At 32.5% G+C, this 25388-nt stretch overlaps 1 protein-coding gene across 11 annotated transcripts in view, besides 1 other annotated feature; it reads left to right on the top strand.

Annotated features, from left to right (window-relative positions):
* Nucleotides 1-25388, top strand: part of FBXL17 (F-box and leucine rich repeat protein 17) — a 523064-nt gene that overhangs the window by 69900 nt on the left and 427776 nt on the right. For 2 of the 11 annotated variants that reach the window (XR_427717.4, XR_007058627.1), the window contains 2 exons: nucleotides 10139-10223; nucleotides 12362-14464. The exons of 8 other annotated variants lie outside the window; for them this stretch is intronic. Coding sequence is in view for 1 of the 3 variants with exons in the window: in XM_005272050.5 (XP_005272107.1) it covers nucleotides 12362-12373 (12 nt within the window). In the remaining 2 variants the exon portion in view is untranslated. Of the gene's footprint in view, nucleotides 1-10138; nucleotides 10224-12361; nucleotides 14465-25388 lie in introns of those variants that run through there. One more of the 11 variants, XM_005272050.5, reaches the window with a different exon arrangement.
* Nucleotides 8824-9024: a silencer, noted in NCBI's record as "peak5404 fragment used in MPRA reporter construct". NCBI's record gives its function as "represses an SCP1 promoter by STARR-seq MPRAs in K562 erythroleukemia cells {active_cell/tissue: K562}" and the evidence as "EXISTENCE:reporter gene assay evidence [ECO:0000049][PMID:32103011]".

The raw sequence follows: 25388 nt of genomic DNA, 5'->3' as shown, positions 1-25388 counted from the left end.
TTATGTAATGGGCTCCTAATCTGTTCTGCAATAGCCTTTTACATAAGCTGTGATGCTGGTGGTATGTATTATGAGACCTAGCCACCTTTTATAAGAATGTTTTTATAGAAAAAAATATCTTTTTGAGTCCTGGAAATGTGTCTCAAAGACACATTTCTGTCTTCTGACGGTAGCTTCAATGACCTGGACAGAGTATCAAGCTGTATGCTAGCTGAAGCTACAGGAGATGGGGTCAGGGTCTGGAGAATAGGTTTTCTATAATAGTTTGAAAGCTAAAGGGACTAACTAGAACTCTTCTTACATAAGTACCTAGAACGCTTGCAGCATTTCCTGGCACTGGGCCATTATCTCTCTTCTTCTCTTTCATTGGTTCATTATAAGCCGTTTGTTATTATGCATTCTCTTTCTGACTAAGAGCTCTTTCTTCTTCAACTAACAAGACACAAAACAATGTTAATGTTTTTTTCTCTTTTCCTGTCATCAGAGCAAATCTATCTTTTTTTTAGATTCTCCATGAGCTTATGCAGAATGGCAAATGGGGATGTGGAGATGAAATAAAAAGACTCTTAGGGAAGACTCAGTCCAAGGAGAGATACCAGTGGTGGATCTTTGGGATTTCAGAGACCCAAAATAATGTATTGTACATTTGGAAGAATACTCAGACTTCCTTGGAGCATATTAAGAGTAAAGAACATGAAGAGAATTAGTGATAAAAAGTATGTAAGAAGGCCGGGTGTGGCAGCTCACATCTGTAATCCCAGCACTTTGGGAGGCCGAGGTGGGTGGATCACCTGAGGTCAGGAGTTCAAAACCAGCCTGGCCAACATGGTGGAACCCTGTCTCTACTAAAAATACAAAAATTAGCTGGGCATGGTGGCAGGCGCCTGTAATCTCAGCTACTTGGGAGGCTGAGGCAGGAGAATTGCTGGGACCCAGGAGGCAGAGGTTGCAGTGAGCTGAGATCGCGCCATTGCAGTCTAGCCGGGGTAACAACGGCGAGACTCCATCTCAGAAAAAAAATAAAAATAAAAATAAAAAAAGGTAGGTGAGAGAAGGCTAGGTAGGTTGACTTTTCTGCAGTGGGGAACTGAAGGTAGAATGCAGTGATTTCAGTGACACTTACTTTTCCCTCATTCCCTTTTCTCCTTCAGCCCCAAATTTTATTTGTGTTGAATTGGTCATGAATTGTTGTCTATTAGAAGCAAGAATGGCAGTGGCTGTAGTTTTCTGAAGAAGTTTGCTGGCATTTTGGCAGAGGGAATGCTGAGAGGAGATTAAATCTCAACTGGCAACAGCAGGTAGTGAAGTAAAATTGTCTGTGGACTTTCGGTGTTGGGCTGGAGGCAATTCATATGTAGGACATGTGTAAAGAAGGAACCCTGACAAGTCACATATTGCCTTTGATTTAAAATAAAAGAAACTTACATTCCATATTACGATGCTTAAGTAGTGGTGTAATGATTGTCTAATATGGCAATAAGAGAAGGGCCCTGCAGTTTTTAAACAGATTTCCTAACATACATAATCTTAATTTTGAGTAGCTAGCTCTAAGTTATTTCTTGAAACAGTTTAAAAAATATCTCAAAGTTCTGATTGAAAATAATTGTTATATAAGTAATCTACTAGAATATTTCAAATTATATATGTTGTATCCACAGCTGGGTTATTTATTTAGCTACACAGTTTAAATGAGCAGTTTCTGATATAATCAAACTTTTTGAGATACAGATAACTTGACGGGATCATTAAGTAGAAATAGTGTGGCCAAATTTGGGACAGAAGATTAAAAACATTTTTTTCGAGTAAAGCAGCTCTTAGAGTAAAAACATGTAGTAATTGAGGTCAAGATATTTGGGTAGAAAAGGAACTGTCCATTGATTATGTAATATTTTAAAGGTCAGGATATGTGGATAGTATGATAGTGCTTTTCTCTTAGCATTGCAGTCCTTTTGCATATATTGAAGACGGAAGTCCACTTGGAGGTCTTACATGTTTTGTGAGAGCTCCAAATTGTAGAACTGTGATCTTGTATAGGAAATATTATGCCAGAAAATCCTGGTGATGCTTAGGAAGACCTGAATTACCCTCAAATAGAATTATTTAAAGAAAGCTCTTAATGTACAGACATTCACCTGCCTTTAAAAAACCTTAAATATTTAACTTATAGAATAATATTTTGCATTTTGATAAATATTCAATTTCAGAGGAACTTTTGTGATTTTTAGCCATCTAACATAATTTAAACAGAATTGTTTTTATTTGAACTATTGAATATAGAATATTTCTTGTTGCAAATGTAAGTAGATGAGGGGTAGAGAATCCTTTTATTTCTTTGTTTTACTTTTTCGAATTACAAAATCAGTACCTTCTCACTAAAGAAACCTTGGAAAACACAGTAAAGTACAAATGGCAGAAATCACAGATTACCCATACTCCACCACCCAAATACAAAAATCAGTCACTGTTTGTACCTGAGTGAATATTTTCAGTTTTTTTCTGTGTAAATGTAAGTTGTATTTTATTAAAAAAAGTTATTCTTTATATGTGGCTTCACTTATTAGTACACTTTGAACTTTATTCTAAGATAAATAATCAAATAGAACATTAGTTATTTATGGCTGGGAAATAATGTATATATTAATTTATTTGATATTTAAAATTTTCTCTTGCTTTCTATATTATGCTGTAATGAGTATTGTAGTTACATCTTGGTAGGCATCTTGATTGTTTCCTTTGTTTTTAAAAAGATGAAAATAGCCTTTTTTTTAAAATAAAGGTAATGCTTGTTGATTGGAATTTAAACAGTACAGTAATGTGTTTTTAAAAGTGTACTTTTACAGAGTTCTTTCAAACACATAATCTGTTAATAATTTGGTCAATTTCATTTCAGACTTGTTAATACATGTATGTACAGATATAAATGTATGTATTTTAATATTAAAAATGGCTATGCTCTGTTATTTTGGCTTATGCTTATTTACACTATCTCTTACTCATTATTCTGTGTGAAGGAATACAGATTATACCATCATTTTAAAAAACGACTTTGGTCTTCCATTGTATTGATGTATCATAGTCTATATGACCAATTAATTATGTTTCATATTTAGGTTGTTTCTGATGTTTCAGTATTATAAGTATCCCTGTAATAATTCTCTATTGCCTTGCCAGGTATTTGTTTTTTCTTTTACTCTTGGAATTATTTCCTGAGAACATATTCTGAAAGTGAAATTTTGGGATCTGGAGGGTATTTGCTTTTAAAATTTGCTACCTATTGGCAGATTACCTTTCAGGAAGAATAGTTGTGTCAATTTATATTCTTACGTACAGTGTTTATGAGTGCCCTTTTCCTTGTGTCTATTCTAAACCATATGTTAGCCATTTAAAAATTATTTAAAATCAGTAAATTTACAATTATGCTTTAAAAAAATTAATGCTACCTAATTTATTTCAAGTGAAAATAGTTGTCTTATCAACTACAGGTAAAGGATGGAGGAAGTGAAGGCCAAAGTTAATTCTGTTCTGAGCAGCAACCTGATGTGTCACAGTGCTCATTCAGATTCTCTTAGTAATTAAGCTATTTTGTGGAATAATCGCTAATTCAAAATCTATGACGGAGGTTTTCTTCCCAAATTAGAATTAATATTTCTATCACATTTTCCATTAAGCAAAACCTGTTTTGACCGCAGAATATACTTGTAGGAGTCAGAGTTCTTACTAGTGGTAAGACGATAGTACTGGTTTGAATTTCCATTCCACCCTTACTAGCCTTGTGATTGTGGGCAAGTTATTTAATATCTATGAACCTCAGTTTTACTAATCTATAAAATGGGAATATTTTCCTTATAGGATTATTATAATGAGATAACATATAAATATGCTTTTTATAATGCCTATACATTCTAGACACTCAAAAAATGAAAACCACCATTACTTGTTATTGTTATTTCTACTACTATTATTTTTACTACTACCATTGTTATTTTTACTATTAATACAATAATATTCTTTCTCATTCCTTAATTTTAGTTGATACAAAATTTTTTAAAAAGTCATGATAGTGAAAAACAGCAGTAGTAGGCATTTCTTTGGATAGCTAGGGTAAAAATGGGGACAAGGTCGTGTTTCTATTTATAGGAACAAACAGAACCAAGAACCTGAATCTGTGAGGCAGTATTCATTGGTCATCCAATATGTAAGAAAATGTTCATGTATCATATTTTATTATGTTTTCCGTTACACACTACTTAAATGAAGTTGTTAAATTGTGTATTACATATACACATAGATAAAAGCTAAAGCAAACTGGAATTGCTTATAAAGTTTCTGATGATTTGCCTTTTCCTTATTCTTTGATGTTTTATAACAATGTATCTCAAAAAAAGCAATTTTTTCTTTAGCTGTCTTATTTTAAAGCTATGTTAATGGGTCAAGATGAAGGGTAATTTGTTGTACAGGCTCTCTCATACAAAAGAACATCCTGTCATTCATAGCAGCAAAGTACCTTTGTGCAAAGATCAACTATCAGTAATAGCAATATATATGTTAAACAAAATCAGAGATTGATATGGTATACAACAAAAAAAAATATGGCTGGGTGCAGTGTCTCACACCTATAATCCCAGCACTTTGAGAGGCCAAGGTGGGAGGATTGCTTGAGGCCAGGAGTTCAAGACTACCCAGGGCAATATAGTGAGACCCTGTGTCTACAAAAAAATTAAAAAATTAGGTGGCTATGGCGACACATGCCAGTAGTCCCAACTACTCGGGAAGCTGAGGCAGGAGAATTCCTTGAGTCTTAAGAGTTTGAAGCTGCAGGAAGCTATGATTGCAACCACTGCACTCCAGCCTGGGTGACGGAGTGAGACCCTGTCTCAAAAAATAAATAAATAAAACAAGATTTTACATATACTCAAAAGAGTTAACATCCTAGACTGGATAACTAAAGGTCACTAACTTAAATTTAAAGCTTTTTCTCTTTTTTAAAACAGTTTTTCAAAAATGTCTTCTTAAGGAGAATATATATCAATATAATACAACCTTTTCTTGGTGACTCACATTCATCACCATAAATACCAGTAACAGGTCCTGCGTTACACACATTGATACACTGAGGGAGAAGTGAGAGGTATAGGGGTACTTGACCTGATGATTTCAGACTATTACTTTTTGGGTTTCATGATGGATACCTAAAGATAATGTATATCATAAAAAAGAGAGGAAGTGTAAGAACCAATAAATGGGAGGGATTAAGAGAGGCATAATCAATAAAGTAAATTAGTACATTTAATAGTATGGAGTAATTGCTAGTGTCAATCAATATTTAGAGATAACCCTGGACTTTTTTTAATGTGCTCACAAGTGATAATTAATTAGTGAAGAGAGAGAATATGAAGGTTCAGTTTCTTTTTATATAAGACCTGCAAATTGTACCCAAGTTAAAATATGACTCTGTGTTCTGTGGACACAATGATGGAAAAATGCTATCCCCTGTCTTTTATACTGAAGATGATAGAATACTTGACAAACCACAGAGTGAAGAAATACACCTTTACTTCAAAGAAGCTAGAAAACAATTTATCAAAGATAAATTATAATAATAGTTAACATTTGAACCTGATCCTTTTAAAAACACTTTAAATATTTTGTCTAGTTTAATTCTCACACTATCTCTGTAAGGTAGTTACTCCATTTTCCAGATGAAGAAGCTTGAAGCTCAGGGAGATGACAGCTAGTATATTTCAGGTACAAGGTTAGAAACCGGGTAGTATGGCATCAAAATTCATATTCTTAACTACTACTATCTGTGTAGCAAATTATTGAATATAATGTTGTTTTAGACTACAGTGTGCTAAAAAGTTGCTCTTGGAGACCTATATCCTTTAGTAATTTGTATTAAATGCATAATCACCAGCGTTTCTCATTCACAGCATCATTGATTAAGTCTTTAGGCCTACTTGAGGCAGTTGGAAGTGTATTTTCCCCCATATATCTAAAAAGTAGAATTATAATATCAGTAAGTACACATATGTTTTTTCAAGAAAATGTATAAAATTTACTGCCAAAGTAAAAAAGATCTCCTAAAAATATGCAATTCATGTATTCTTCCATTTATGTAAACAGGTGTGGATAAGATTAAAAATCCAAATGTAACAGCCCTTGGATATTGGGGATCTACTCAGATTACTACAACAGTATCCTAGATCAGTATTAATCTGACTCTACTAATGGGTTTTGATATAAATTTATGAGATCCAAACTGGCATTTTTTTAAAAAGGAAAAGAAGCTATCAGGATGTATCATACAATAAGGGTAAACATTGTTTTATGAAACTGTTATTTTCAGGGGTGGAGTGATAAAACGGATGGATGTTTCTTTCTGTTCAGATTGTTCAAAACAGTTTCAAAGGACTACCTAACAGTGTTCTGACTTTACTGCCTTTTTGCTGAGATTGTTGAGCAGTTAGTTTTCTTAGTCTTCTCTTTATTTTCAGTTCAAACTGAGCATGCCCAAAACTCAATTGGACTGAACTTGTAGTCTTAGCTATCCTCCTCTGTCACTATATTCTTCTTCTGTGTTCCCATTCTTGGTTAAAGCCCTTCAGTGAGTTTTCCTCTCATACAGGTTGGAGATGCCACACTCTTTAGTATAGTTGACAGTGTCTCTCTTGGCCTCACTTCTGCTTAGCAATCCTCACTTCTTTTTTTTTCCCCCTTCAACTTTTCAGTTCCAGAGTACATGTGCAGGATGTGCAGGTTTGTTACTTAGGTAAACCTATGTCATGGTGGTGTGCTGCACAGATAATCTCATCACCTAGTTATTAAGTCCAGCATCCATTAGCTATTCTTCCCTGATGCTTTCCCTACCACCCACCTCCAGTGGGCCCCAGTGTGTGTTGATCCCCCCAATGTGTCTGTGAGAACCATGTGTCTGTGTGTTCTCATCATTCAGCTATATGTGAGAACATGTGGTAGCAAACCTGACTTCTACTATGTCCTTACTAACCAACTCTATGTTAACCAAATCCATATGTGGTTTTCTGAACACGCCATATACACTTACTTTTTCCTGCACATAAGTTCTCTTTCCTCTCTTTTCTATTAGGGTCAGACTTGTTGATTTATGACAGCTTTATGAGGTAGGTCTTATATCCTCATTTTTCATATGGAGAAATAGAAGCTCAAAAAGTTTACCTTTCCCTAGATTCTTCTTTTAAGAATTAGAAATTGAGAAATGGAGTCAGTTTCTAATACAAAAGTTTTATTGTAGACATACAGTAGAGTATTGGTCCCTTATGGAAAAGTTTTATGCTTATTTTATTATAGAGAAGGACAAGGAAGAGGTCTTCCTTTCCGTAGGTAGGGAAATAGTTTTTAGTTTTTAATCAAGTATGTACAAGGCTGAAATATGAGGTAACAGAAAAGGAATATTGATTATGAGGGTAGAAATACCAAATGAGGGAGAGAGAGAAAGAGGTTTCTTGGTGCCTAGGCATTTTCTTTCTTGTATTGATAATTGTAAGAGATTCTCTTTTTCTGAATTTCATTTCAGTTTATTTTTGTTTTTGGCAACCCAAAGGGCTTGCAGATAGGTGTATTTATTTTTAAATACAAAATTAAAGCAAATAGGTGTATTTATTTTTAAATACAAAATTAAAGCAGATAGGTGTATCTATTTGTTTTTTTACTAATCTTAGTTTCATTTAAGTAGGGGAAATCTTCACTGAAAGTGATTATATCATTCAAGTTTATTCAGGAATTTTGGAATTCAGGAAACTTTTCATGATAATTATAAATGATAATTATGTTATTTGGTTAATTCATAAATGTTGAATAAACCTTCTGGGTTGAATTACTGAATATTAAAATGAAGTAATATTGGCATATGATTTCTGAAGCATACCAGTGATTCAAATTAAGATTAAAATACTTTTTCTAGAATGCTGTTACTTGAAGAAAAGCAGATTTAAAGAATTATACGGTAGTAGATAAAAATTTTCATAGAAATTTTGGCTGCTGCGAATTTATTTAAAACAACTATCAAAGTGTTTAATGCCCATCATAGATTATTTGTTTTGAATTTAAAAGTGTAATAAAATTAAAATGGGTGGAGACACATGTCTTTGGGCTGTGAAAGGTAAATTAGTAGGAAGGAACATGGTATAAGATAACCCCACTCCCAGTAAAAAGCTGTATTTGATTTCCACTAGTTCACTGATTCTCAAGCTCTGGTCTGTGGACCCATTATACTCTTAAAAGTTATTTGAGATGCCAGAGAGATTTTGTTACGTTGTTATATCTATTGAATTTTTTTTCACTTGAAATTCAAAATGAGAAAGTTTGAATATACAAGCATACATTCTATTAGTCATCAGAATGATGATGTTATCACAGGTCATGTAGTCTCTGAAAAATTCCACTGTTACTAAGAGAATGAGAGTGGAAAAGGCAAATAATGTGTTAGTATTAAATTATTATTAAAATATTTTTGACCTTTGCAGATACTTGGACAGACCACAGGTAAGAATACCTGGACCAAACTCCGAAAATTTTGCTGTAGTTAAAATACTTCCACTTTAAAACTTTGTTTTAAATGGGAGAAGCCTCTAGTTGAAGTGAAAAATAAAGTCTTCAGAATACATATGTTGTATGTGGTAGTTCAGCAAAGTCATCCCTTTTAAATTCAGAATTATTTCCACAGTGAAAGAGAATAGTTTGACTTGTCTTTATTTGCCTGTAGTCTTAAATTGGAAGACCAACATATGAAAAAGGGGAATAAGTAGTGTTGCTTGTGTGTGGGTATGTGTGTGTGTGTGTGTGTGTGTGTGTGTGTGTGTTTATGCCTGTGTGTTTTGGAGGAAGTTATCTGGTCAAGGGGAATTGAACTGAGACTAGAAATTTGTTCTGGTAGCTCATTAAGTTAACATTTGTGGTGGTAATATATGCATTTTACAGCCTGTTTTTCGTCATACATTGTGGTTTACTATACAGCTGTTACTTGTGCCCTATACTCACTAATTAAGAGTTAGTAGAGGCACTATATTTTGAAACATTTTTATATATATACAAGTCTTATGATTTTTTTGAACTTTGGGAAGAGTATATTAAAAGTTAAGCATTTTGTAATGTTTGTTGTGAACACAAACTAGATTTAGACCAAGGGCTTAAATGTAATGGTGAAACTATATAATTTCATGTCCAGTTTTCTTAAAATGTGAGTGTTTGCAGGTTTATGTGTTAGGTACTCTACTTAGGAAGTGAACGTAAATTGCCTTTCTGTATTGAATTACATATTCATTATTTGTGACTTTTTGGCTTTAATTATAAGGCTTTTCTTTTTTATAAACAAAAAATGATTTTGAACTATGAATTATTACTGATTTGTATTTCAACATAGGTTTTTCTTTAGAAAATGAGGCGTATCTATATGTAAATTTCATAGATTACATTATTGAAAAACTATTAGTGTATACATAAAGGATAACTGTCAGTGGCTGAACATTTTATATTGAAATATTTAAGAAAATAGAAAACATTTCATTCCTTAAAACGTTATTTAAATATAGTAAAATTAACAGTTCAATTAGGTTAAGGGTTTGAAGAGGAAAATTATCTTAATTACAGTTGTTTGGTTAGAAGAAATTTTTCAGTCTTTGTTTGTAGAATTATGTCTTGTAAGTATCTCTTAATTTTCTAAGATTTCTCTCAACCCTAGGCAATGATAGGCTAATTCTTAAAAGTGATTATTTCCTTAAGCTAAAGACTCATTTAGAGAGGCTTCTAGGTAAAGATATAACTCTGTAGAATTAGGAAGCAATATGTATTTCTTTTATTTTGGGATTTTGTTTGAAGCACTCATTCCATAAACTGGAGGTGAACCCTCCCACCCTTTTTTTTGGAAAGAAATTGTTCTTCAGTTACAATATGTTGGTGTATTCATGGAAGTATTTTTGACTAGTGATGACTTTATATTTACTTGGGATAGTCATTACACTATCTTTGTCTTGATTTTAGTGTAAACTTTGTTTATCCTTGGATATATCAATTTAGTTGCATTGGATGACATATGTATTTTCAGAAAAAGTAGCCTTGACCAATTACTTTATTGATTGGTCCACATTTGTGGCATGTTTTTCAGAAAGACATATGATGGGTTGGCGCACAGAAATGTCATATTCCAATCACGACATGAGAAATGGTTGGATTGCCTGTCCTACTAGGAGGTATTCTTAAAATTAGTTATCCTGTTATAGCTTATCAATACATATATCTCCCATTAAGAATGAGACATATCTGGATTTCATTGTTATCAGAGTTAAAAATCATAATAGGCATTTATTGGTATGATAGGCATCTATAAAATTTATAGAAATTATCATTCTTGGGATTAATGTGCTGAACTTTTTTGGATTCTAAATTTTTGATGGTTGTCCTAAATGGAAAAATCCTGTCTCTTGGTGGATAGTTATTAATACACATCATTTATACCAATGACTGATATACATTTTCCAGGAATGTTAAAATTTTATCACTCACATTCCATCCAAGAATAAGTGTTATTTGTCCAGTGTTTGTCTTTTTTCTTGAGATTAGACCTATGGTACTGCAATTTAAAACAAACAACTGCCCTAGAAGTTAACCACAGTTCATTTTTGTTGCATTCAACTATATGGCAGTTAGCATAATATTTACTTTTTTTCCCCATTAGAAATGTAGCTGCAAGTGCTGTGTGAGAAAGATGTAAGAATCTTGCAGTATAGATAAGCTGTTGTAAATATATGTAAAAATAAATTTAGTAAAATTACTGACCTAACATCGTTTTGGAATTCAAATGATGCCAACAGTTCTCTATGAAAAAATGATCTGCATTGTTTTTAAAACTTCTTTTTATTATGCATTTTTAAAGCTCTTGAATTCATCTTAGGTTTTTATCACTTAATTCATCTATATACATATGTGTCCCCTCTATCTTAAGACTTGGTAATAGAAAACTGAGCACCAAAGTCCACTGAATTAATAAGTGGCAGGAATAATAAATTCAGAGATCTCTGAGTGTTTTTGTACATTTTCATATGCTCAGAGGCATAAAAAATGCAGTAAGAAGCTATAATTAAAATGCTATAGTAATCACATCATGAATCAATTTGATTTTACAAAATGAAACTTCAGTAGGTCTGTTACTTTTTATTGTGTACATGTATATGTATACTATATTTTATTCTCTGTGATCTAATTATAGACTGCATTTTAAACTACTATTTTAGACTTTAAATATATATATACAGACATATTCTTTAATATTCATTTTATTTTACTATGATCTTTCATTCTAAATCATTTTGAGTCATCAGTTTTTTGGAACTAACAGAACTTTACTCTTACATATATAACACAATTGCATATAGACCTTCATTATATAGATGCAAGGTAATAAAAATATATATCTTTATTTTTTCCTTTTTCTTTGTTACCTTTTTATTTGTGGGTGAATGAGAAAAGCTAAGTGAGTTATTTCATACTAATGAATAATTTTTAGGTCTAGAAGCTGCCCTCCAGGTTTTCTTAAATTGCTACAATAGTGAAATAAAACTATTTCTTCTGTATATAAAACATGGTTAAACTTTCCAGTAGAAAATCTTCATGTGGAGATAAGTAATATAAAAAAGAAGATCTTTTATAGTCATTAGTTTTAAACAGTTATCCAAACAATACCATAGATAATTTGATTCAACCATTTAATTACAACTATTATATTTATTTCTGGAAGCATTTGTTCAACAATTCCAAAAATTGAATATGAGGAAAAAATAATAAATGTTATTTGTTTCTAAATTGGGCCACTTTGAACTAAATATAGAAGTAGAAAAAGTTTGAGTGTCTCTCTGTAGAAAGAATCTTCCATTTTAGATCTTTGACATAGTTGAATATTGAAGGATAGATACATATTTTTTTCCTCGATGCTATATTTTTTAATCAAGTAAATGGAGTTCTTTAGTATCAATGAGTAAAACTTTTGAAAATTATTTTACTTTTTAAGTTTCTAAAAGTTTTCGAGTCAGAGATATAAATACTAATTCATTTGTATAAGCAGTGATTATTCTAAAATGTTAACAAAAATCTTAAGTGAACTGCTGATATATGATTATCTATTTCTGGTTTTTAAAATTTTATAAACTGAAAATTGTAACAAGAATTGTCCGTAAGAATGGACATACTCCTTTTAAACTTTAAGAAATTAATTTTCTGAAGCATTTAAATGTAGGATCTAGATTTGGACATTGAGCTTTATTTACCCATCATTTTAGATGTTCTGGGAAGAAATATCTAATGATTTTTCCATGGCATCTACCCTTTTTTTCAGATTCTCGACTGACATTTTGTCGTGTTATTGTGTCCACGCTATTTAGTTCCTTCTGGAGCCTTCCGAATTTCACATGCACTGCTTCAATCAGCTCCTGCAGAGTGGATAACTTACCTAGGGACCCAGGCATTACTGGACAAGCAGCCAATCATGAACAGGGGCAGGCTGGCCTTTTTTTTTTTTAATTTTAATTTTTATTATTTTTTGCATTTTGAAGTATAGGTATTCATTATAGCAATTTATTGGAAAGTAAAACGCCAGGGAGCTTTTCTGGAAAAATATATCTTTATCTAAAATTGAAGGATTATATAGAAATTAGCCCTCCTGTTTTCTTTTCTTTCCTTATTCAATAACTTTTAGATTGTGATTTAAGTACTTTTCTATATCTATAAACTAGTGTGTCTTTGTTTTTTAGTACATATTTGTGTAATGTAAACTTGCTTGTGTTGATATGAAAACGTAGTTTGAAAACTGTACTATGTATGTACAAAATATACTTTAATGGTATCTTGAGGTAGGGAGATGGGTGGGTGAGAACCTCAGGTTTAATTTGGAAATAGAAGAGAGGGATCTGCCCTAACGCTTTAAACTAGGTGCAGATTGGGAATTTATCCTGTATGTATGTCATAAAGGTATAAAGGTCCAACTCTGCCATTTGTTTAAAAGAAAAACAAACTTGATAGAATCTTGACAGATTTTTAACAATTTTAAATAATTTAAAAAGCTGTTATAAATCAGACTGTTTTTTAAAATAGCAGTAAACATTTGGGGCTTTTTTGTTCAGATATGTACTCATGTTAAAATGAGGTATCCATATTGGCAGCTAGGTAATAGAGGAAAAAGTGTTATACTCTCCTAATACATTAAATGCTGGCACTATATATGAAACTGAAAGTAAATAATATTATTTAAATCAGTGTGCTATACTTTTAATGTGGATATGGAAAAAAGGCTCATTTTAAAAACTGCAAGAATAAATATATTTTAAATGCTGACATGTTAGGTTTTTATTTTTTGTTTTATTTTGAAAATATGTATACACTAAATTAGGTTTTTGATTAATGGTTAAGAATAGTGAATAAACAAACATGGATTTAAAAATTAAATTGAATTAGGAATTATAAGACTTTGATACTTTTATTTAATATTCTGTATGAGGAAGATAGTATATTACTATATCAAAGGATGAACTGTGTTTTGTGTTGATCAAGAACTTTGCTATTAAAAAAAAGATTTATATTTTTTTACAGTTACAACATTGTTTCCCATCTCTCAGACTGAATTTTTGTTGATTTCTCCTTAGCATCATTAGGCAAGTTAGTGGAATTTAATTTTTATAAAGAAAAACTTAGGGCTTTAGATGCTTTCAGTAAAATTTAAAGCCTACTGAAGTTTTGTTTAGATTTTAGTTTAAATCTATGATTGTCTTGATTTATTGATCTTCTTTGACTGGTGGAGTAGAAAGAAATAACTTTCTCTATGCACAGATTTTATACAAAAACGATTTTTCTCAGTGCTTTCTGTTTTATTTAGATGTTTGGAAGCCAAATTCTGTGTGTCTTGTTCACATAGTAGTAAGAAGTAGCAAGAAGACTATAACTTAAATAGACAAAAAGTTATTGTTGGGGCATTGTATATCATATGGAGCTGTACTTTCTAGAATTTCTAGGGTACTTTATGTTTCTTGCTCCCTAAAAAGAAAAACAAATTAGTTATATAATAGTAAATTAAAATTGTATAATATAAGCCCTACATGGGTATTTGTGGCAATTCAGGAGTAATTGCTTTATCATCATTCTGTTCAGAAGTAATTGCATTGCTTTTGGTGACTGTAGCTTACATTTAGAATTCAGTCAGTTGGGTCATATGCCATTTTTATAAATGGAGAATATAATGCCATAAACTGTAAATTTTTGAAGATATATGGATTCTGATTTTGCTGAATATTTTAGGTTTTTTGTTTGTTGTAAAAACTGTATTTCTACCAAAGGAATAGAATGTTAAATGCTTATTCAGTAAGAATTCTAAAGCATGAGTTAAGTTGGAATAAATGACTTAAAATTATTTCTTAATTTGTTATGAATAAACTTTTTTTGAAGTTTATTTCTGAGTTGCTTAATGTTTTTTGTAGTACTGAATGCTAATTTTGAAAGCAATGTTTCAGAAACATTTAAAAAACAATTTTAGCAGTCTTGTATAGATGATCAGTCAGTATGATTCTTAAAATTCTCGTTGAAGGTATCCAAAATTATTTCCCTCTGCACAGAATAAACAGTTAATGTGATGTTTATGCATTGGATTTTTGATGTTTGAGTCTTTAAATTGCCACATAGTCTGAAAATAATTTTATTTTACTGGTAATGCTTTTGGGATATTTATTCCTATATATATGGAGATTGAGCACCATCTCTTGGTCAACCTGAAGTATATTAATTTGCAAATTCAGCAACAATTGTTAATTAAATTCCTTAATTACTGAGGTTCTATATATTACATAATTTTGTCACAATAAGGTCTTATGTCTAAAGACTGTACTTCTCATAAAATTCACCAGAATGCCTTTACTGTTGTAGATTATAAAATGACTCACTTTTATTACCTTTACTGTTTAAGTTTCTAACTTTGCTATATACTACTGAATTATAAGTTTTCCTTTAAAAGAGGTGAATGGTCTTAATCCTGTGTTAAGAATAAACCCTGTTTATTTATGGAGTTATTAAATATGATTATTTGCTTTAAGTGGAGATTATCCAATTGAAGAAGGTTAGGTGATTTATATATTGTTACCTATGCATGCTAGGTTTATTATTTCAGAAAATGATGCTAAATTTAATATTTAAGATAATAAAATACTTTTTATTTTCCTTTAATATCAATTTGAATGAAAAAAGTATATTATCTAATTGAGCAACAATGGAATTAGGTATATTAAAAACAAAAATTACCATTTTTGTTATTAATATGTAATTTTTAGAATTTTGATTTTTGTCATATTGAATGTGTTATTTTGTTTGAAATGGATACTGTCGAAGTATGTATTAGTAAATGAAGTTTTCATTTTAAAAGATATTTTAATGATAGATTTAATACAGATATTAATAAAGCTACTTATTTTCTCAGAGCAAAGCAAAAAAATAAATATGAAATGACATTTCATGGTTTCGAAGATATTAAAAATGTGTGTTCTTTAAGACTAGATATAGAAGGCAACTGGTACTTCTCTCCATTCCTGACATCAAAGTGAGGCTACAGCTGCATCAAAGTCTTAACCCTCATACATTAATAATGTACAGTAAATAAATCAGTGCTTTTGGGTTTTAGGGAGGTTGATTTTTTTATTTTAGGTTGTACTTTCTAAACATAAATCATTCAGTACTTAGTATTAGATGTATTATTAGCAAGAAAATAGTTATAAATAAGGCCGAAAGAAACAAGTTTAAGAAACTAAATTGGCATTTTATATTTCATAACAAAGTCACTGATTTTTTATATGAAAATGAAGACTTGTAGTGTCAGCTGTATTACATTGTTTCAAATCATGAATCATATCCTGATTCCCCTTGACTCCTCTTGCTTTTTCCTTATCCACTTAATGTCATCACTTCTTCCTAGTGTTCTAATCCAGAAACTTGAGATTCAGCCTTGATTCTTCCCTATCTCTTGTCTTTCTCCTAAAAATTTAGTGTCTAAGCTTTGGAAATAACTTTATTCTTTCTTTTCTCCTCACAACTCTCTTATTTCAGTCTTCCTCATCTATTCCAGAGAGCTTATTGTGTAATGTTGACTAATTGAATTACTAATGTTATTGTCTCCAATCTCTTCCCTGTTCCACCCTATTCTTACTAGCACTGAAAGGTTTTTTTTTTTTTTTTTGGTTTTGTTTAATTTTCCTACTAGAACACTTGGCTGGTCATTTTAAAGATTCTTTAATGGCTATCTACTGTGTGCTACACAGTCGAATCTAAATTCCTTAGAATGTCACTCGCTAGAACTTTATAGTCTTGTTCCAGTTGACCTTAAGCCTTACTTTTTTCCTTTCTCTTTCCCTTTCCTACCTTTTGAGACCTGAGGCACAGGCCAAATTTGTGAAGTGTTACTTTAAGAATTAATCATGCTGGTTTGAGCTCTATTAGCAATTGGATTGTATTACTGGAAGATCTCTTATTACTAGAAGGTTTGTTGATTGTGTGTGTGTGTTGATAGTTGTGAACTCTTTGAAAACAGTAACTGATTTGTTTGTTTGATCTGTCAATTTCAAGTCTTAAGGATAGTGCTTGGCAGGCAGGAGTCTGTATAATAATATAGTAAAAAGTATGGACTCTGGAGCAGACCGTCTGGGTTCAATTCTTAGCTCCTCTACTTTGTCTCCTTGAACAATTTACTTAATTCCCTAGCCCTTCAGTAAAATGGGGATTATAACAGTATTTATGTTATAAGAATACTATGAGGATTAAGTGTGTTAATATACATGTAATGTGCTTAGAATATATGAGAATTAAATGCTCAATGTTATTTTTTATATTTAAAAAATATTAAAAATTTACTATATTTCAAAATTTGGAAAAGTATATGAATTTGGGAGAAAGTTCTTAAATATTTTTTCTTGTAGTAAAATATCACAAATTAATGTTAATTGAAAATATTTTCTTGACTGAAAAATATTTTAAAATTTTACTAGGAATCGAATTGTGTAAAGTTTCAGTAAATAATATATCCTTCAGAGTTAAAAAAGTGTACTCTTATATAAATATTTTTTGTTGTTGCTGCATTGTGTTAAAGTAATGTCACTCTAAATAACTACTAACCAAAATGTGTCTTTTTTAGGAATATAAATACTGTTAAGAACAAAAGTAAATTGACACCTTATCTGTAAAAGTAGACTCTTAAATTTAAAAATGAAGACCTAACATAGGTGTTTTTGTTTTAAATATAGGCTGAATGTAGTAACATTAGTAGATGGCTTTAAAGAACAACTGTGGATATGAAGTAAGTCATTCTGTAACAAGGTTTATTGCAGAAATAGACTTGCTTATGACTAATAATGGCTTAGATTTGTATTTTTTTGTTTTTTTAACTTGTTTTTATATTTGTTGTCTTGATGAGTTTTCTTATCACTTCTAGCCAAGTTCAGAGTAAAGACTTACCTTTATGCAGTTTGCTTTCAGTGGTTTATGGAGGAAGAATATGGATGGATACAAATGTCAAGAGAAGAGAGAGAGAGTTAAATTTGATTTCTTCAGTTTGAGATTTTTATTCTTTGCTTGGCATTGTAAGATGAAGTTTAAAAGCCTCTGTTGGGATATAAACTTCTGAACCTAGACAGTTCTCCTCAAAAATTCATAAAAATATTTATAATGATTGAGAATCACTGAATAATGTTAATATTAGCTTAGATGATAAAGCACAAAGTATTTTTTGGGAGCCTACAGCTATTAGGAATTACAAAAAGTATACACTTCAGACAATAAAATAAGAAGAATTCATCCTTTTTTGGGTTAGAGCCTGTATTTTGAACACTACTGTCAGTAAGTGTATATATATATATTTTTTTTTTTCAGTATATATATATATATGTTCTGAATATATATATATTCAGTAAGAATATATATATACCATATATATAGTGTATCTTTTCAAAATACTGTTGATATGTAGTTTTCTTTCTTTGAATGCTTATGTTAGAAATAAGTATAGATTTGACAATCAGTTTTTTTAATATCATGTCTGCTTTGAATTTTTTTATCTTAATGATTGAAATACATTACTTCTCCTTTTTTTTTTTTTTTTTTTTTTTGTGAGACAAGAGTCTCGCTCTGTCTCCCAGGCTGGAGTGCAGTGGTATGATCTCGCCTCACTGCAGCCTCCGCCTCCTGGGTTCAATGGATTCTTGTGCTTCAGCCTCCCAAGTAGCTGGAATTACAGGCATGTGCCACCATGCCTGGCTGATTTTTGTGTTTTTAGTAGAGATGGGGTTTCACCACGTTGGCCAGGTTGGTCTTGAATTTGTGACCTCAAGTGATCAACCCACCTCGGCCTCCCAAAGTAATGGGATTACAGGCATGAACCACCACGCCTGGCCAAAATACATTACTTCTGAGTGAGATCCTCGTTATTAATAATGTTCTTAAATAATTTCTGCAGTGGTAAAATTAATGACTTAACAGCAAATACCTGTTTGCTTTTTATGGTGTTTCATCTTTTGATTATAAAATATACCGTGATTTAGCAAGCAAGTCTGGTTTATTTGGAGAAGTTACTTAAGCATATAATCTTCATTTTAGACTTACAATTTTGAAGCTGTATTTTTGTTTTGGAAATTGTATATGATCCCCTAAAAGTTTTGTGCTCAGAGTCAGGTAGAGACTTAGGGAAATTATAGAGGAAACAGAAGTATTCCAATATTATTTTCTAGGAATAAAATTACACATGTCCCCATATTTGAAAATGTCTTTCACTTAATGGAATTCACAGTTTTCACACTTTGTTTTAGATGTGAAAGCTTTCAGTAGTTTCTTGTGAATAGGCCACTAAAATTAGTGTAAAATATTTCAATTTTCTAAAATAACTTATTAGTATTACAATATTTCACTTTATAATGAGAAATCCTTATTGTAAGATGTAATGATTCCTACCAAGAAATATTTAAAGTATGAGCAATAACCATATTTTCAGACTAATAAGAAACTAATATAGGAATACTGTTTCTATTCAACAAGTTTTTTTTTGTTTTTTTTTTTTTGTTTTTTTTTTGAGACAGAGTCTTGCTCTGTTGCCCAGGCTGGAGTGCAGTGGCGTGATCTCAGCTCACTATAAGCTCCGCCTCCCGGGTTCACGCCATTCTGCCTCAGCCTCCCCAGTAGCTTGGACTACAGGCACCCGCCAGCATGCCCTGCTAATTTTTTGTATTTTTTAGTAGAGATGGGGTTTCACCATGTTAGCTAGGATCTCCTGACCTCGTGATCCACCCGCCTCGTCCTCCCAATGTGCTGGGATTACAGGCGTAAGCCACCACGCCCGGCCTCAACAAGATATTTTTACAGTGTCTAATAAATACTGACACCATGCTAAGTCTTGGTATTTCCCAATTAAATATTATTTAGGAGGAGAAAGACATTAATGGAGAATTAAAATGTGATGTTCTAAGTGCTATGTAATAAGGCATGATTGAAAAGACACTTCGAGCATTGCTTAAGTCTTCTTGGGAGTTCAGAGGTTTTTTGTGAGGTCATGATCCCTCAGCTAGTTTATAAAGATTTGAAGAATATTTCCAGGTGGAAAATAGAAAATAAAGAAGGGATTTTAGGTTGAGGGAGCAGTATATGCAAAGTTCTGGTGGACATTTAGAGAGAAAGATCAGGAAGAACGGACTGTGGACCATGAGGCTGACTAGAGATACAGACTATAAAAGCTTTTGGGGGGCCAGGCATGGTGGCTCATGCCTGTAATCCTAGCACTTTGGGACACTGAGGCAGGTGAATCACCTGAGGTCAGGAGTTCGAGACCAGACTGACTAACATGGAGAAACCCTATCTCTACTAAAAATACAAAATTAGCTGGGCGTGGTGGTGTGTGCCTGTAATCCCAGCTACTTGGGAGGCTGAGGCAGGAGAATTGATTGAACCTGGGAGGTGGAGCTTGCGGTGAGCCAAGATCGCGCCATTGCACTCCAGCCTGGGCAACAAAAGCGAAACTGTCTCCAAAAAAAAAAAAAGCTTTTTCGTTGCTATGTTAACAATTTTGGCTTTTATCCTTTAAGCATTGGGGAGGCATTAAATAATTTTGAATAGAAGAGTAACATCCATTTACATTTTTGAATTATTATTCTGATCATTCTGTAGAGGATGGAGATAGACAAATTAAAGGAATTACTGCAATAGTACAGGAAAGAAATGATGACCACCTGAACTGAGGGCAGTGATAGTGAGAGGAGAGAGGGTATTAAGGAAGTAGAGTCAGCCAGCAAGTCTTGATGATTAATTGTGCATTGGGTTCAGAATGTTTTTTGCAGTACTCAAGACTGACTGCTGGGTTTCTGGCTTAAACTGCTAGTCCTTGACATAGGTATTAATGGAAAGAGGACATAGTTTTGGGAATGGGAGGACTTCAGTAGTAAACATGTCTCATTTGAGATGTCGGAGAACACTTGGTTAGGAATGTCTAGTACGCAGTTGGATGTCTTGAGATCTGGAACTCAGATCATGGTAATTTGGAAGTTAGCATACTGGTCCCAAACTCACTTCATTATTTTCATTTTTTAAGTTTGTTAATATTCCTCTAAGAAAGGGTAAAGAGAATAAGGAGAATTTAGAACTTAGGTTAAAGAACTTTTGGAAAAATAAATGCCTGTGTAGAGCCTATTTCACACTTAAGGCAACTGTTTGAGATTCATTTCTCCTGCCAGTAATTTCAATTCTCTGCTACCAGCTGTCTTGTAGGATCAGTGAAGTTGTTTTAAGGAAAAGCAGAGCACGTGATGACCTGGCTGTTCTGAATACTTACAAACTTAGAGGATGCCTAACTTTTTAGCATGCCTCCAACTCAGCTAGGTGAACTATTTGTAGTTTTTTTGTTGCATGTATCAGTGTTTCTCTCTGTTGGTGTGAGCAGTTGAGAGTTGACAGAATATAATCAATAAGGTGGGTGACAATAATTGTTTTGATATCATTGCCACTCATATCATTTATTTCACAGTTGCAGAAATGGAACTAGTCCAATATTTAATAGCTCAACATTTTATATGTATTGTATAATATACATGAGTGTAGGTTTTGGATGCTATGTTCTTTCCAGGACAATTTAAATCTGTTCTTTAATTATTTTAGATGGCGTTGCATATGTGGTATGAACTTCTTTGTTTCCACTTCTGCAGTTTTAATATTCTGTATATCATGGAAATATTTTTGTTAATTTTTAAATTGTGATGTATATCAACATGCAGAAAACAAGATTAAACATTAGCATTAATTGAATCACCGTATATACTTTAAATTGCTTAATATGCCATCAATTTACAGGATGTAATTCAAACATTATTTGCAATAACAACCCCCAAAATACCAAGGAATAGATCCAACAAAAGATACATAAGACCTTTATGGAAAAAAATTATACAACTTTGTTGAAAGATATAGGATCTAAATAAATGGAGATCAGTGTTATGCTTTTGGATGGGAAAACAGGAATTTCTGTTCTATAGTTTCTATTCTGTAATTTCTGTGATTGAATAGAAAGTCCCCCAAAATTAATCCATTAAGTTCAATACAGTCCCAATCAAAATCCCAAGTAGCATGTTCTTTTTACAATATTTGCCAATCTGATTTGAAATTGACATGGGAAGGAATAGCAAGAAGAGCCAAATAATTTTGAAGAACACTAAAGCTGATTAATCTTACCAAATACCAAGATTTACCATACAGGAATGGTAAATTAAAATAGTGTGATCACGAGACATGGGGTAAAAAAACAACTAATGGAACAGTCTGCCTTTTCAGTCTTGCTTCCTAACTCCTCTTTGTGTACAATGACATGCCAGCCAACCTGAACTATATGTGCTAACATTCACGCCCAGTATTGTGTGCCTTTGCTATTGCCATTCTACAGAATTCTCTTCATCCCTATGGACTCTACTTCACTGAATCTAAGATGTGTTATTAATTTATGTACCACTAAGAAAAAATGTTGCCAGTTAAACTGACACACCATCATTGCCAGATACACCCAGCTTCAGAGATGTTAAAACATGAAAATGTGTCTTAAGATTTGTGGAAGATGGTATTTAAAATGCCAGTGTCTCCACTAAAAATATCCCTTGGTTTCTCTTATCTGAAAGTAGATTCTCTCCCTATGAATCTGCATAGCATTTATTTGTGCGTTTTTGTGAATGTTTTACAGAGTAAAATACACTTGCACAAAGACTTTCCCCTGAATTTTTCATTTTAGAAGGTATCTCCTGCAATAATTTTAATAGGACCAAGAGTTACCAAATATTGAGCACATACTGTAAGTCACATGATAGTTGCTTTAAGGATGTTATCGTGGCTGTTAGGCAACCTTCCAAAGCAATTTCTGTTCTTCAGATTTTTACATAGGAAACTGGAACTTAGATATTAAGAAATTTTCCCCAAAACACAGTTACAGGATTGGAACCCCAGACTGCCTAACTTCAAAGCCATGTCATGTCATGGCAGCATTTGCCTGTTTCCTCTCTGCTTCCCTCTCCTGATTACAGTAAGCTCTTTGAGCATAGACACCATGCATTTTGCATCTTTATAGTCCCCATACCTTCTCATACCATCCCTTGAAACCTAATGAACGGCCAATAATCTGTAGAATGAATAAAAGTAGAGGAGGAGATCAGGGCACTTCTTCAAACTGATACTTCTTTACATATTGGTCTTGGTCCATTGTTTATTTGTGTGTGAGATCAGCACAAAGGAGGTGTAATTGAGGCTGAGCTATTCCTTTAACACCAAATATTAGAACAAAGAATGGATGTAACTTCCTAATTCAAGGAACGTCTTAACATTTTAGAAAAACATTTTTGAATTAAATTTACATATTCATCATAGAAAAGTTGAAAAGTGGAGAAAAAGAAAATTAATAATAACACATTATCAAGCATGTACTATGAACCAGGTACTTCGTGTGTGTTATATCATTTAATTTACAAAACAACATAATCATACAGGTATTGTTATCTGTATTTTGCACGAGAAAGCTGTCGCTAAGAGCTTTCATTTACCCATGATGTCATTACTAGTAAGTAGAGGTGTTCCAGTTTGCTTAACTTCAGAGTCCACACTTCCCTCTTTTTGTTGGTTTTCTGTATTTGAACTTGGTATAAATGGCATCAATAGTGAACATTCTGCAGTTTTCATTTTCTTCCCAACATTTTTTGAGATGTCATCAGCATTGCTTCATGTAGTTTTACTTCATTCAAGTAATTAAAAGTGTTTTTAAAAGTAGTAAGTGTACATAGTTTAAAAAGTCAAAGTTATGTTTAAAGTGAAGAGTAGATACCTCTCTCTCCATTTTTAGTCTTCTCCACAGAGACAGCTGTTTTCAACTTTTTTGTTATTGTATTTTCTCTTTCATTTACCTTTGTATTACCCCCACACAAATTTCTCACTGCCATTTCCTGACTTTTAAATTTTAATTACATAATGCCTTTCTACTATGAAAGAAAATAATTTAGTATTTTTCCTCCCTTCCATCATTTTCTGTTTTTTTCTCTTCCCATCCTTCCAATATATTTATATAACACTATCATTACTGTGTGAACATTTGCAATAGAGCTACATAATGTACTATGTTCGGTTTTCCCTCCTTTTTGTAACTTGTGGTTGTTTACAAGCATACCTCATTTTATTGTGCTTTGCTTTATTATGCTTCTGAGATATTGTATGTTTTACAAATTGAAGATTTGTGGCAACCTTACATCGGGCCAGTCTGTTGGTCCCATTTTTTTCAATAGCATGTGCTAATTTCATGTCTCTGTGTCATATTTTGGTAACTCTCACAACTTTTTTTTTTTTCTAAATGTTACCTTCAGCTTTTTTTGTTGTTGAACTTTTATTTTAGGCTCGGGGTACATGTGCGGTTTGTTATATAGGTAAATTGCATGTTGTGGGGGTTTGCTGTACAGAATATTTTGCCACCCAAGTAATGAGCATAGCGCCTGATACAAGGTAGTTTTTCAATCTTCACCCTTCTCCTCCCTTCCACCCTCAAGTAGGCCCTGGTGTCTGTTCTCTTCTTAATGTTCATATGTACTCAGTGGTTATCTCCCACTTATAAGTGAGAACATGTAGTATTTGGTTTTCTGTTCCTTTGTTTGTTCACTTGGTATAATGGCCTCTACCTCCATCCATGTTGCTGCAAAGGATAGTATCTATTCTTTTTATGACTAGGTAGTATTCCATGGTGTATATGTATCACATTTTCTTTATCTAGTTTACCATCAGTGGGTATTTAGGTTGATTCCATGTCTTTGCTATTGTGAATAGTGCTGTGATGAACTTACATGTCTGTTTGTCTGTAGGGTAGAATGACTTACATTTCTTAGGGTATATACCCAACAATGGGATTGCTGGGTTGAATGATAGTTCTGCTTTGAGTCTTTTGAGAAATCACCACACTGCTTTTCCCAATGGCTGAACTAATTTACATTCCCATCAGTGGTGTAGAAGCATTCCCCTTTGTCTGCAGCCTCACCAACACCTGTTGTTTATTTTTTTTTAAATAATAGTCATTCTGACTGGGCTGAGATGATATCTCATTGTCGTTTTTCTTTGCATTCTCTAATGATTAGTGATGTTGAGCATTTTTCATATACTTGTTGACCATGTATATTTCTTCTTTTGAGAAGTGTCTGTTCATATCCTTTGCCCACTTTTTAATGGGATTGTTTGCTTTTTGCTTGTCGATTTGTTTAAGTTCCTTATAGATTCTGGATATTAGACCTTTGTCAGATGCATAGTTTGCAAATATTTTCTCTCATTTTGTAGACTGTCTGTTTACTCTGTCAGTAGTTTCTTTTGCTGTGTTTAGAAGCTCTTTAATGAGGTCCTATTTGTCAATTTTTGTTTTTGTTGCAATTGCTTTTATCTTTGTCATGAAATCTTTGCCAGGTCCTATGTCCAAAATAGTATTTCTTAGGTTATCTTTCAATATTTTTATAGTTTTAGGTTTTATATTTAAGTCTTTAATTTATCTCGAATTGATTTTTATAGATGGTGTAAGGAAGGGATCCAGTTTCAATCTTCTGCATGTGGCTAACCAGCACCATTTATTGAATAGGGAGTCTTTTTTCCCATTGCTTGTTTTTGTTGACTTTGTTGAAGATTAGATTGTTGTAGGTGTGTGTCATTATTTCTGGGCTCTCTATGCTGTTCCATTTGTCTGTGTGTCTTTTTTCTACCAGTATAATGCTGTTTTGGTTACCATAGCCTTGTAGTATAAAGTCAGGGAACATGGTGCCTCCAGACGTGTTCTTTTTGCTTAGGATTGCTGTGGCTATTCAGGCTCT

This window comes from Homo sapiens, chromosome 5 (genome assembly GCF_000001405.40).
Source record: "Homo sapiens chromosome 5, GRCh38.p14 Primary Assembly".
NCBI lineage: Eukaryota > Metazoa > Chordata > Mammalia > Primates > Hominidae > Homo > Homo sapiens.
The sequence above is the reverse complement of the archived record's forward strand: the minus strand, read 5'-3'. Positions and strand labels throughout refer to the sequence as shown.